General features: G+C 47.2%; 1 protein-coding gene across 19 annotated transcripts in view, besides 4 other annotated features; it reads left to right on the top strand.

Moving 5' to 3' along the window:
* The window catches only part of ERC2 (ELKS/RAB6-interacting/CAST family member 2), a 960,157-nt gene that overhangs the window by 888,158 nt on the left and 58,779 nt on the right, over nucleotides 1-13,220 (top strand). The window lies entirely within an intron of this gene.
* Nucleotides 1,946-2,145: a silencer, noted in NCBI's record as "fragment chr3:55612193-55612392 (GRCh37/hg19 assembly coordinates)". NCBI's record gives its function as "represses an EF-1alpha promoter that drives an FKBP-Casp9 reporter gene in an ReSE screen in K562 erythroleukemia cells {active_cell/tissue: K562}" and the evidence as "EXISTENCE:reporter gene assay evidence [ECO:0000049][PMID:32094911]".
* Nucleotides 3,023-3,545: an enhancer, noted in NCBI's record as "H3K27ac-H3K4me1 hESC enhancer chr3:55610793-55611315 (GRCh37/hg19 assembly coordinates)". NCBI's record gives its function as "activates a minimal SCP1, AML or CMV promoter by ChIP-STARR-seq in naive H9 embryonic stem cells {active_cell/tissue: H9 hESC(naive)}" and the evidence as "EXISTENCE:reporter gene assay evidence [ECO:0000049][PMID:30033119]".
* Nucleotides 8,036-8,663: an enhancer, noted in NCBI's record as "NANOG-H3K27ac-H3K4me1 hESC enhancer chr3:55605675-55606302 (GRCh37/hg19 assembly coordinates)". NCBI's record gives its function as "activates a minimal SCP1, AML or CMV promoter by ChIP-STARR-seq in primed H9 embryonic stem cells {active_cell/tissue: H9 hESC(primed)}" and the evidence as "EXISTENCE:reporter gene assay evidence [ECO:0000049][PMID:30033119]".
* Nucleotides 8,664-9,291: an enhancer, noted in NCBI's record as "H3K27ac-H3K4me1 hESC enhancer chr3:55605047-55605674 (GRCh37/hg19 assembly coordinates)". NCBI's record gives its function as "activates a minimal SCP1, AML or CMV promoter by ChIP-STARR-seq in primed H9 embryonic stem cells {active_cell/tissue: H9 hESC(primed)}" and the evidence as "EXISTENCE:reporter gene assay evidence [ECO:0000049][PMID:30033119]".

Here is a 13,220-nt window from a genome sequence, read left to right as displayed (position 1 = left end):
TCGCCTCTGGCAGCACTACCCCCTCCCCAAATTGAACTCAGTAGGATTCAAGCTTCCCCAAGACAAAAAAAAAAAAAATATGCTTCCTATTGCTGTCAAGTGGTATTTACATTCAGTTTTGGCAATGGTGGCAAAACCCACTTTGGTGTTTTTGCCACTTCTTAAATATATTAGGTTGGTGCAAAACTACCATTACTTTTAATGGCAAAAACTGCAATTACTTTTGCACCAACCTAAATACAATCATCCCAAACTATCATATCACCTTTTGAATTCTCTTCCTATGTCCCTGAGGCTGTGGACTCTATTTGAAACCCTCACCACTGCCGTGGAGATATTAAATTAAGCATTGCAGCTTAGCATGGAATGTGTAGATACTTGAAGCAGGATTTAAAAGACATTCTGATTTCCTAGAAATGTAACAGTATATTGCCTTGGAGCAGACAGCAATGCAGGAAGGAGCATTCTTTTCCAGCACTGAGCCTGTGGCTCTTCAACGCAAAGGAGGTTAAATCATGAGCCGAGTGCGCAGCATGTGAAAGGTTGAGGATGTGTTCTGTTTAGGAGATCCTGTAAACGGACTTGTTTTGCTGGGTGGAAGAATGAATCATTTCTGCCGTGCACACCAGCTGCAGCCTGTGGAAGTAAACCGAGGGCTTTCCCACAGCATGCGCTGTATATTTCATTGTTAGAGCTTTGCATTTTGACAGGTAGTTCTTATCCTTCTGGAAAGAGAGGTCTGAAGCCAGCAGCTGGAGGAAGACCTGGCAGGTCCTGCCGTCTAAATTGAGAGCAAGCATGTGCAGCAAAACCTCATTATAACATGACCTGTTATTATGTGGATTTTGATATCCCATGGGGCAAATATGTCTCCCAGCATAGAACAACTCCATATAGCAGATGCCTGTTGTAACTTGTCTAACCCAGAATACAACCTTGTCTCTGAATCCAGTGTTATTAAGGGGTTCATGCCATTTTTTTTTCAAATTGAAAAACGTACCAAATGTAGATTGTGAATTATATATACTATACAAAGTATGGGTAAAATGCGTATGATGCATGGCAAGTGCTCATTGAGGTCTGTCCTTTTGTAGAATTTACATTGTAGAAGAATATGGTAGGTTAATTGCAAAAATGTCCCCAATTTTCAGGATTCCTATATGCATGCCCTTTGCAGTGTGATTTTATAACTGTTCCCATAAAGAAGTGGGAAAAGCTATATAGCTCTCTTTTCCCTCTGCTTGAATTTAGACTGGTTTTAAGACTTCCTTTGACCAACAGAATGTAGTAGAAATGACAGTACGCCACTTCCCAGCCTAAGCCTCAAGAGCTCAAGCTCTCTCTCTGTCTCTCTCCCCACTCCCACCTCCACCCCTCACTCAGAACTCTGCCTAACCATGTGAAAACAAGCCTAGGCTAGCCTGCTGGTAGATGAGAGGCCATGTGCAGGAGAGCCCAGTTGTCCCAGCCAAAACCACCCTAGACCAGGTCACAGCCAGCCAAGCCCCAAATGTGTGAAAGAGCCCTGCCAAGATCAGCACAGCTACCTATTCCACTTATAGAGGAACATGAGTGAGCCCAGCCAAGACAAGACATATCACCCAACTGACCTGTGGACTCATGAGCAATAATAAATAGTTGCTATTTTAAGCCACTAAGATTTGAGGTGATTTGTTACACAGCAATAGCTAACTAATACAGGGAGACTTGCAATGTGTAAGTAGATAGTATTTGTTTCACTGTATTTTTTATAAGGAGAGAAGTTCAAATAAGGACATCTGCCTTGCAGGGAATAAAACAGGGTCACTTGGCCAGGTTACTTTAGATAAAACGCTGAGTAAAGGCCTTTCTGAGGAGACAGGTGAGCCAAGACTTCAATGAAAGGAGGTGCAGACTGTGGTAGGAGCCAAGGCAAGAGCTTTCCTGGAGCACAGTGAAGTGTGTGGAAGGCCCCGAGGTGGGCTTTAGGGACTGGTAAGAGAAAAGGTCTGGGAGAGTCGCAGGGACCAGACCTCATGGAGTCCTGTAGGGTGTTTGTATTTTGGTACAAGTGCTGGGAGAAGCCATTGACAACTCTGTACAAGAGGGTGGCATTGCATTTTTAACTTTCTAGGCTGCTGCAAGGCAGCATGAGTAAATTTGGAAGACCCAGTGGGTAGACCACTGCAGAAGTCAGATGAGAGATGCTGGGAACTCAGATGAGGATGGCCCTAAGTGGGAAGGCCCCTCTCTGCTTGCTACAGAATTCGCCATATCCTGCCTTGTTTAGAGCCTGCTGTTTACCCAGTGAGGTTTCCCATGTATTGGTGAGCTCCCTGCAGTGGGGGCCACGTCCCCTTTCTCTCTCCCTCTCCAGTGCCCAGCACAGAGTAGGGCCTTAGTAAATACTTGCCTCAGCAAAGCCCTTCTCTCAATTTTCTACCCCAACTCATACTGTGGCAGTCTAGACAACCTCTTCCATTTCCTTTCACTCCAGTGGATCGGGAGAGGTGCCCTTCTTCTTTCGCAGGAACATGGAGGTTACATGAAGCCCTCTAGGACCTAGTCTTTGTTATTAGGGAGCATCTCTTAATGAAGAACCTGTGGCCACCACCTAGCAGGTTCCTCTCCAAGGCCTAGAGTATGGTGCATGCCTGGGGTCTGTTTGGGGTTCAGCCTGACTTATCTGGTGACTATGGGGATGTCTTTAGGCTTCTTGGCTCCTCTTCCTCCTGCTATAAAATTCCTCTGGTTTGTACTTCCCACCAGCCCACCTTGCAGGCCTGTGATTGCTGTGATCCAGTGTTTATGGAGCACCCAGAGCAATAGAGGCAGCCGCTGGGGAGCAGATGCTACATTTGGGACCCTGCCCTGATGAGCTATCATTCCCCAAGTGCCTCGGGAATCACAAATAAAGGGAACTTTATGAGGATATAACCTTATTATTTTTACCCCATCTCTCACTGCCCTTTTATTAGTAGAATTATTCAAGGCTGGCCTTCTCCTTTCAACTGGCATAAATTTTCTTTCACTCAGCTTGGATTTTTTTTTTTCTCTTTTTTTTTCCTAGGGAAGGTGGGTGGAATTTAGAATTAAAAAGTAGCAATGCAGTGGGAATGCAGACCTGTCTTAAATTTCACAGCAGTTCATGAACTTCAGGAAATCTGAACACACAGCATGCAATTAAGAGCAGGAGGGGATTTTTTTAAAAATCAGTTGTGAAAGAAAAGGTGATCGGGTGGAGAGGGGCTGATCGCAGGCCTCTGGGGCCTGGAAGTTGGCGCTGAGGACAGGGCAGACAATAGCCTGTTGGCAAGCCAGACGTCTTAGCTTGTCTTTTGATCTTTAATCACCTCGACTTGTCTAAGACAGAGCACGGCAAGACTCTCCTCTGGACAGAGAGGCCAGGACTCTGAACAGGGCTCAGGAAAGGCCACAGGGCCCTGAGAGCTTGGGTTCAGCCTAAGATCCTCCCCCAAGCCTCCCTCGCACGATGCGGTGTGACTGACTCTTGTTGCCACTTTGGAGCTGCAGTTTTCTGACATGGTGGGGTCGGGCAGGAAGCTGAGGGGCTAGGCACGAGGACGGGGCCGTCAGCCCAGGCCATAAAGATACAGGGGACGGCTGTGAGCTAACGGGCAGGATGCAAGGTGGGGGTTTCCTCCGCAGCTGCTTCTCTATCTCTTGGCTTGGCTCGGAGTTCAGAGGAAAAGCCATGTTCCTACTTTTGCTCTGGAAATTGGGATGAGAAGCCCTTGGGCAGCAGCACACATATGCTAAGGGCACGTGCCTGGAGCCTGGCAGACCTGGGTTTGAGCCCTGCTGCATCACTGCTCTGGGGCAGGCCCCTTTACCTCCCTAAGCATCGGTTTCCTCATCTGTAAAATAACATCACAATACCTCCCCTGAAGGATTATTTTGGGCATCAAGTGTGCTAATCTGTATAAACTGCCAGTAGTTCCTGGTGCATGGTAGGGCCTCCATTAATGTTTTTATTTTGGATTTATTTTTTTTTTTTTTTGAGATGGAGTCTTGCTCTTGTCACCCAGGCTGGAGTGCAATGGCGTGATCTCAGCTCACTGCAATCTCTACCTCTCAGGTTCAAGTGATTCTCCTGCCTCAGCCTCCTGAGTAGCTGGGACTACAGGTGTGCCACCATGCCTGGATAATTTTTTTTATTTTTAGTGGAGATAGGGTTTCACCATTTGGCCAGGCTGGTCTCAAACTCTTGACCTCAGGTGATCCACCCACCTCGGCCTCTCAAAGTGCTGAGATTACAGACGTGAGCCACCGTACCCAACCTATTTTGGAGAATTTTATAGAGGTAAATAGCTTAGTTATAAACTAACTGTGTGACCTTTAAGCAAATCACTGAGCAGCCTCTCTGAGTTTCAGTTTACTCCTTTGTAAGTGGGGATAGGAAAAGTACCTACGTGCTTGTTTATAAAGGTGAGGATTCAAGCAATCAGATGTGTCTAATGCACAGCCCAGGGCTTGGCACAAAGTCCCAGGCAGGGTTTGACTGCTCTTGCTACTCTGGTTTTCCCCTAAAGCTGTACTGTTTCAGCCAGGGGGTAAATTTGGTGCCCTTGGTCCTTCCTCTCCCCTCAGCTGAGCCACTAGTGGAGCTGGAGAAGGCCTGGAGCCAGGGCAACCTACAGGGATCATGGTGGCTGGTGGGGAGCCCTCTGGGGCCAGGAACTGGGCCCAGCACCCTAGTCCATAATAATGATGGGCTTCTGTGTCCTACTTACTTTTCATACATCCACTCCAAAGAATTCTTATAAGAGCCCTGCTGGGTTTGTTTCCATCATCCCCATTTTGCAGATGATGCAATCAAGAGGTTACATGATTTTCAAGAGGTCACATGGGCTAGTCAGAGTAAAGCAGCCAAGATTTGAACCAAGGCAGTCTGGTAACAGGACCCCATTTATCCACTGTATTCTGTTGGTCAGAAGAACCCTGGGGTGGTCAGACCAGGAAGAGGGTGGGAAAGTGCACCTCTGGCCTTCTGGCTGAGTGTGGTGGCTTACAACTGTAATCCCAGCACTTTGGGAGTGCAGGGTGAGCAGATCACTTGAGGTCAGGAGTTCGAGACCAGCCTGCCCAACATGGTGAAACCCCGTCTCTACTAAAAAATACCAAAAAATTAGCTGGGCTTAGTGGCGCATGCCTGTAATCCCAGCTACTCGGGAAGCTGAGGCATGAGAATCACTTGAACCCAGGAGGGCGGAGGTTGCAGTGAGCCAAGATCATGCCACTGCACTCCAGTCTGGGCAACAGGGCAACATTCCGTCTCAGAAAAAAACAGAAAGAAAGAAAGAAAGTGCACCTTCTGTGAGCCAGTAGTTCAGCCAGGGGACCCAGAAGTCTCCACTCCTCCAGTGTGTGGTTTCTCCACCATGGATGAGCGGGCACTTACATGGCAGTGGGGTCAGCTAGGGGTTTAGAACTGGCCCTAGGAAAACAGAGGGCCCATTCTGGCCTGTGTCTGGAGGGCACTTGTGATAGTTAATCTAGGCTCTGACTCACTGAAGAGAACTTATGGGACTTTGGAGCTTGCAGAGACAGCCTCAGTGATCAACTCGAGCCTTCTCAGTCATGGTAGCAATGCCACCATCACTTGAGCCCTCTTAGGAGCATCACCCTGCAAACTTCTTAAATCCTCAGTGGCTCTACAAGACTCTTGTCCTCAATGCACACATGCAGAATACTGAGCCAGCAGAGCCTTAGAGAGGCACAGTGCCTCACCCAAGGTCACACAACTAGTAGGTAACAGACCTGAGATTTTATCTCCCCCCATCCCAGCTCTTCCCAAGGCCACAGGAATCTTCCTTGGCACCCCTTTCATAGGGCACGTCCTTCCTCTTGGATATATCTAGTGTGAGAGAGCTCATTCCTCCTAGGAAGGTCCATTCTGTACATCCCCTCATGCATCGGCCAGATGACTTGGGAGATAAAAGTTTGTTTTATCAAGGGACTTTGGCAAAGGAAAGTCCTGCCCAAGATTTCATTAGGGAATTGACAGAGAAAATAGCAACCACCGAATGGTATGGATGAAACAGGAGGAATCTGGAAGCCAGGCAGGCCTGGGTTTAAATCCCAGGCTATGAAGCTGTGAAGCCTTGGATAAGTCACTTCACCTGTACGGACCACAGTGTCATCATTGGTCACATGAGAATAACCAGACCTAATCCAGGATAAAAAATAGCACATGCAAAGCCCTGGGCCTTTGAAAAAACTTGACACCAAGTAGCTTCTAATAATAGCAATAACTGCTATGATTACTGCCACTGACCCTGGCAGGACAGCATTTAATCTCTGTACAAATGCAAGGATAAATGAGTGTGTTCCCTCAATTTTTAAATGCCTCTTGCATTTATTGACAGCTGTTTGGTGATGAGGAGAAGCGCTACATCAAGTGCCCTCATCAAATAAAAGCTATGTTCTCAATTCAGAAAAACTTAAAGGTAGGGAGATCTTGCAGTCTAGGACTATGGAAATTCACGGCTCTTCATCACTCCAGAAAAGTGTGTTGACAGAATCCATACTTAGGCTGAAGGCACGTGGCAGGCTTCATTGCTGCATGAACTGTGTGCACTCACATTAAAGATGAGGCAGGGACATGTGGGCTGAGGAAGGTCCAGGCAGCTGACTCTGGCAAGCAGAGGACTAAGGAGGAAGACTCCTTGGCTGTGCAAATGGAAAAGAAAGTCATAAAAATTGTGACGAACCACATGAGGAGCGGCCCAGTGTGTCACCTACCTACCCCAGCCTTTCCTTGATCAGGGCCTGCCTCCAACTAGCTGTGACATTGCCTCTTGGTGCTGCTGCTGCAGACCCCACTATCCTGGCCCCCCTCGCATCTGTTGCTCTTCACATCATCACTCCAGATGGAGAGGCATGCAAAAAAAGAAAAGTGAATCTTAAAGTTCAACAATCAAATGGCTGGCTAACATTTATTGAGTGCTTGCTGTTGCCTGGCTTCATGCTAAATGCATCATCTCAGACAATTCTCAAATAACCCCGTAAAACAATTGCTATTATCCATACCCATTTTACTGATGAGGGAACTGAGGCACAGAGAAAACTAAATACTTTGCTAATAAACATTGGAGGTAAGATTTGGTCTGTTCCATACCAAAGCCCATTTCTTACCGACATCTTTCTGTGTTATGTCCTGTCATTCCATAACATACCAGAAATATTTACTTTGAGACAAGACTGTTGATGGGGAAGGAGGTGGTATAAGTGGAGAACACTTGGAAGGTGCCTGGTGTTTTGCGGTCAAACCTGTTCTCTTTTCTGAGGCCCAGAGAAGTTAAGCAACTTGTTCAAGGTCACACAGCCTCTATATAAAGGGGGTTTCAGAGGCCCTGGGGTTTCTGAGCTCCTGGAGGAAGACCTGCAGTACTTAGAAGTGTTGTTAGAAGTGTTGATTGCTGAATTAAAGTGATAGAGTAGAAAAAACCCCTTAGTGGGATCATCTGGGGGCAACTGCCTCACTGTAATGAGAGAGCAGCTGAGAACCCTAGAGGTCACCAGCTAAGGCTTTTAAACACTTAACAGAATTTGACTATTGGAGGGAGGCCCTCCAGGGTAAGGGAAAGCTAGATAGCAGGGGTTTACACCTGGCCCCACCCTTCACTATGTGACCTTAGGCAAGTCCCCCAGCCCCAGTCAGAATCTGTGTTCCCATCTGAAAATGGGGTTGCTGACAAGATTATTGTGAGACTTGGCTGTCAAGAATACAAAGTGCTCCATGTAGGAGCTTGTGTAAAATAACTGCTCAATAAATATTCGTTATTTTCTAGAAGATTCCAGATATCCCCTGAGGGTCCAAAAAATGGCCCCTGGTGTTATTTAAGCATAGAATTGCTTCAGCTCCTTCTTTTTGTTGCCTACATGGGTGCTCGTGGGAGATGATATTGAGGATTGAGGAAAGCACACCGCCAGGAAGGGTGTTCCCTCTGCCATCAAATTCTCACCCTTGGGTTCCTGTGCCTCTAGCTGGCCGGGCCACAAGCATTTCTCCAGCTGCTGGCCCAGGGACCGAGGTGAACAGAAGTGGGTGACAAAGCCTGCCTGTCTCCCAGGCCACTTTCTGGGCTGCTCCTGAAGTGCAGCCAGGATGGAACCATAAAAGGCGACGCTCCCTGGCCGCTGTCTTTGTTTTCCTCGCTAGCTGGAATGCCTCATGATGACAGGCAGCCAGGAAATGCCCCTTCACTGTCCCAACGCCACCTCCCTCAGGAACGCCGTCAGTCTTGCCTTCCTGGGCTGCACAGACCCTGCGGGTGGCAGGAAGAACTGCACTCCCTGGGTCTAGAGGGAACACCTGAATTTCGGCCCAGGTAGGTGGCCTGGTGTTCACATTATCTTGTAAGGAAGGACAAGGCTGAAGCAAGAGGGAACAGTATCCAGGAAGTTTTTGTGGACTTTTACATTTAAGGAAAGACTCATTCAGTACCCCCTGCAGGTATTAATTGAGCACCTACTGTGTGCTAGGCCCTGTGCTAGTGTCTTAGAATGTAGGTTTTATTTTTAATCAGGTCTGGTGAGGCCACTGAAAAGATGATTTGTTGCTCACAATTCCAAGAGGGGAAGGCACACCACATCATGCAGGACCACTCAGGAAACACTTCTGAACACTCCACAGAATTTGACTATTCTGTTTGGTCAGAAAGCAGAGGGAGCCAGGGGAAAACGTGGGCAAGAGCCTTTGTTGTGGCTTTTGTGGGAAAGGCGAGCAAGGCAGGGTGAGCAGGTTTAGAACTGACTAGCTTGAATAATTTCAGTGGACTCTGGGGTGTAGTTGTTGTCCTCACTGTCTGGTGCTTGGTCCCAGGGTGATTGGGGCAGGGAAATAATGGTCTGGAGTGTGAGACCCCTAGAAGAGCCCCAGAAGGGAGGAAGTGGTTGGGGTCGGGGCTTTGGATTGATTGGTTTGCATATAAAAGGTGAGCTCCAAGTCAAAATTGTTTACTATCTCTAGGAGTTAGCTAGCCCTAGGAGAGGCAGTGTCCTTCAGGTCCCTAAGGCCCCAGATGTCACAGCATCAGAATAAAAAGCCACACTTGCTACAGCTAGGCTGTCAGGAGCACAGTTGTGCACAAAACAGACCCGATTCTTGTCATCATAGAGTTTTCTAACCAGTAGGGAAGAAGACATTGAATTACTTTTTTTTTTTTTTTTTTTTTTTTTTTGACGGAGTCTCGCTCTGTTGCCAGGCTGGAGTGCAGTGGCACAATCTCGGCTTACTGCAACCTCTACCTCCTGGGTTCAAACAATTCTCCTGCTTCAGCCTTCTGAGTAGCTGGTATTACAGGGGCACGCCAAACCATGCCCAGCTAATTTTTATCTTTTTAGTAGAGACAGGGTTTCCCCATGTTGGCCAGGATGGTCTCGATCTCTTGACCTCGTGATCCGCCCGCCTCAGCCTCCCAAAGTGCTGGGATTACAGGCGTGAGCCACTGCGCCCGGCCCACTTCTCATTATTAATGCTGGTCAAAATGGACTAAACTAAAATGAAAAATTGGAGCCTGTCAAAAGCAAGGAAAACAAAGCAAAACAAAACAAGACTTGTGTAAGGGCAGAGGCCAGAAGTTGGGGAAGGAAAGGGAAGCTCCAAGGTTTTGTAATTTTCCTTGACCACCCTAATCACATCCCAGTCTAGGTGGTTTATCTGACCACAGACCATCTGTTCTTCCCCGGGCATGCCAGTGGTGAGTTAGAGAATATCGTCAGAACCCTTTGAACTCCTGGGAGAGATGTCCTGCAGAACAGCCCCATGCATCATCCGGCTGCAGCTCCCCCTGGCCCTCCCTCTGCACTCACCTCATCCCAGACCATTTGGAACCAACCTGGAAATCATTATCTCGTCAGGTTACTTTGTCACATCAGCAAGAGGAAAACTCCAACCATGGAGATAAGATGTGGACTTCGCCTCTCTTCTGGCCGAACTTCCTACCGTGACCATGCTGTGATTGGGGGCCTTTCCAGCGTTCAGCACAGCCTCTCGTGCTGCCCTACCCTGCCTATGACTGAGCTGGGACCAGAAGTACCAGGACAAGAACCAATTTTGGAGCATGAAATTGAGACGGGTGGGAGATTTAAAGCCCCATTGGCTCCTGGGAGAAATGGAGAGACTCAATGAATATAAGAAATGGGGGGTCGGGCATGATGACTCAAACCTGTAATCCCAACACTTTGGGAGGCGGAGGCAGGCAGATCACTTGAGATCAAAAGTTCAAGACCAGCCTGGCCAACATGATAAAATCCCGTCTCTACTAAAAATACAAAAAGCTAGCCAGGCATGGTGGTACACACCTGTAATCTCAGTTACTTGGGAGGCTGAGGCAGGAGAAATCGCTTGAACCCGGGAGGTGGAGGTTGCAGTGAACTGAGATTGCACCACTGCACTCCAGCCTGAGTAATAAACTCTGTCTCAAAAAAAAAAAAAAAAAAAATAGAAATGAAGTCATCTCCAAAATAGAAATTTATTGACTGTGTTTCTTTCTATCCCCAAACTTTGGACACCACGAAATGATCATCAAACCCAATTAATTATATGTCATGTAATTTTTTAAAAAGATGAGTAGTGAAATGTTTTTAAATTCTTGACTTAATTGAAATCAGTGTTGATGTGACTTGCCAAAGTTTAAAAAAATGTGTGTGACAGGCTGAACATTTTAGCTTAAGAGGAGTTTCAGGCACATCAAATGCAAAAACACTGAAAACGATTCGTCTAATTTAATTGTCAAGTTGTGCCAAAAATGCTAACATGATATCTTTGAAGAGTAATTGGTACAAAGAATATCCTCAAAGAGAAATATTTCCACACGTCTGGCTCTTATCTTGCCCTCGTTAAATTTTTTTCCTCCCCATTGGCAGAGCAGCGCATGCCTCTTCCCTGCCCCTTCGGCATAGGGACCCAACTGGTTCTGCAGATTTTTCAGCCACTGAACTTAAACATGCCATCGGAATGGAAGGAGTGCAGATTCCTTCTTCAGATTTAGCCCAAGATAATCTTGGAGGAGTTTTTTTTAATCCTTTCTTGCCGCCAAATGCGGTCTTCATGTGTATTTGTTTAATCAGATAGGTTGGGAAGCTGTTGTGTGCTAGGCTTCTTATAGATAAGCATTCTTTCTCCCTGAGGGTGATGACTTCTAGAGTTTTGGTGCTATTTCCTTGAAGTGGGTTCAAAGGTAATGTGCAGCCCCTCCCCCTCAACCACATTACCTGGAAGTTCCTTGTATAGGCCCAAGGGAATGCTTCCGTGAGAATGTCATATTTGAGTGAAGGCCTGAAGAAGGTGAGGGAGCGAGTTTTGGTGATATCTAGGGGCGGGGCTTTCCTGGCAGTGAGAAGAGCACATGCAAAGCCCCTGAGGTGAGACTGTGCCTAGCACGTGTTCATGACACGTGACATGAGTGGAGCGAGGATAGGTAGAGCAGTCAGGGACGTGTCAGAGGGGGAGCAGGTCAGACTGTGTAGGGTCTCATGGGTCACAGTGAAGGCTTTTGCTTTCACTGTGAACGAGGAGGGAAGTCACCAGAAGATGGTGGCAGATGTTGGTCCTGAGCTGGCTTCATCTGAATGGGATTTCTCTGGCTATTTCTCTCTGTGAGAATAAACAGGATGGGGGCAAAGGCAGGAAGGCTATTGAAGTAATACAGAAAACAGACGTTTGATGGTTTGGACCAAGGTGATGGCAGTGGAGATGGAGGGAAGCAGTTGGATTTTGGATGGGTTTTCAAGTGAAAGGTAATAGTATTTGCTGAAATATTGGATGTGGAACATGAAGGAAAGAGGAGCCAAAGATGGCTCCAGAGTTTTGGGCTGAGCAGCCAGAAGAGTGAGGCTGCCGCCATCCAGAATGGGGAAGATTACAGGAGAAGCCAAATGATGATGTTCCGGAGCTCAGGTTTGGACATATTAATTTTGAGATGCCTGCTAACTATTGCTTGCTGGATGACTCCTCTTCTACCTCCTCATCACTCTGAGCTTAGACCACATGGGTCCCCGGCCAAGTTGAACCAGGGCAATGATTTAACTAGCACTGATCCAACCCGTGGGCTCCTCGTGCCCACATACCACTCATCACAATTCAGAGGGCAACCTCCTGGGAGACACTGAGAGAACATGAGATTTCTGTCTCAATAAGAGTTTGCCATTATGAAATGTACTTGGCTAGTGAGGCCTATACACTTGTAATGAGCAGAATATAGATTCAACTGAGCTATAAAATAAAATAATAACTATTTTAATATACAGCATCTCCCTGCCAAGGCAGCTGAAGAGAAGCCTATGAGCAATAAAATTAGTCCAGAGAAAGAAATGAAAAACCACTGAAAACAGCCACCTTCTAAAAGGAAACAGATTAGAAGGGCCCAAAGAGGGAAGCCATCACCAGGAGTGAAACTCACCAGATAGTGATAAAACAGTTATGAGAGAAAAGGCCGGAAGGAAATTTTCCAGGCTGCTGTCTGTTACTTCACTAATCACCGTGGTGACCTCATCCCTCCCCCTGGCTTCATGGGTGATGACTCTAAAGCCCTGATCAGGGCCCCGGATCCTGCTTCCATTGGCCACTGGGAAATCTCCTTCTCAGTGCCTTCTCACCCTCACTCCAGATGCAGTCCTCCTCCTGAAAAACCTTGGCATCATCCTCACCTCTCCCTCCTCTCTCACCTCCTGTCAGCCTCACCACTGTCCCTTTCTTACCATCTCACCATTCACCACCCACTCCAGGCCACCATCACCTCCCAGCTGAGTCCTGCTTCCACCGTAGTCTCTATACGCTCAGAAGGACCAGTTTTTGAAATGAAAATCAGATCAAGCTCTCCCTAAAAACCCTCCAGTGGAATCTCATTTTATTTGGATGCAATCCAAATGACTTATGAGGACTTCCATGTCCCATAAGGTACCTACCCACCTTTCCAACCTTGCCTTATTTCACTCTTCCCTTTGTTTAACTGGCCTCCTGTCTCTTTCCCAACATTCTGGCCTCAGGGCCTTTGCGCAGGTCTATTGCTCTGCCTGGAGTGCTTACCTCCAGATTGTCACATGGTGGTTCAAGCAGTTTCTCCAACTCACAACTCTCCTCACCACTCCATCATTGATTGCTTGCCATCACATAACCCTGGCTAGTTGCTTTCATGGCAATAAACCATAGGGAAGGATCTTGTTTGCATATTTGTATATTGCCTGCCCTCCCCTCCATATGCAAGTACTATGAG

This window comes from Homo sapiens, chromosome 3, assembly GCF_000001405.40.
Source record: "Homo sapiens chromosome 3, GRCh38.p14 Primary Assembly".
Lineage (NCBI taxonomy): Eukaryota > Metazoa > Chordata > Mammalia > Primates > Hominidae > Homo > Homo sapiens.
This window is presented reverse-complemented; position numbering and strand designations above follow the sequence as displayed.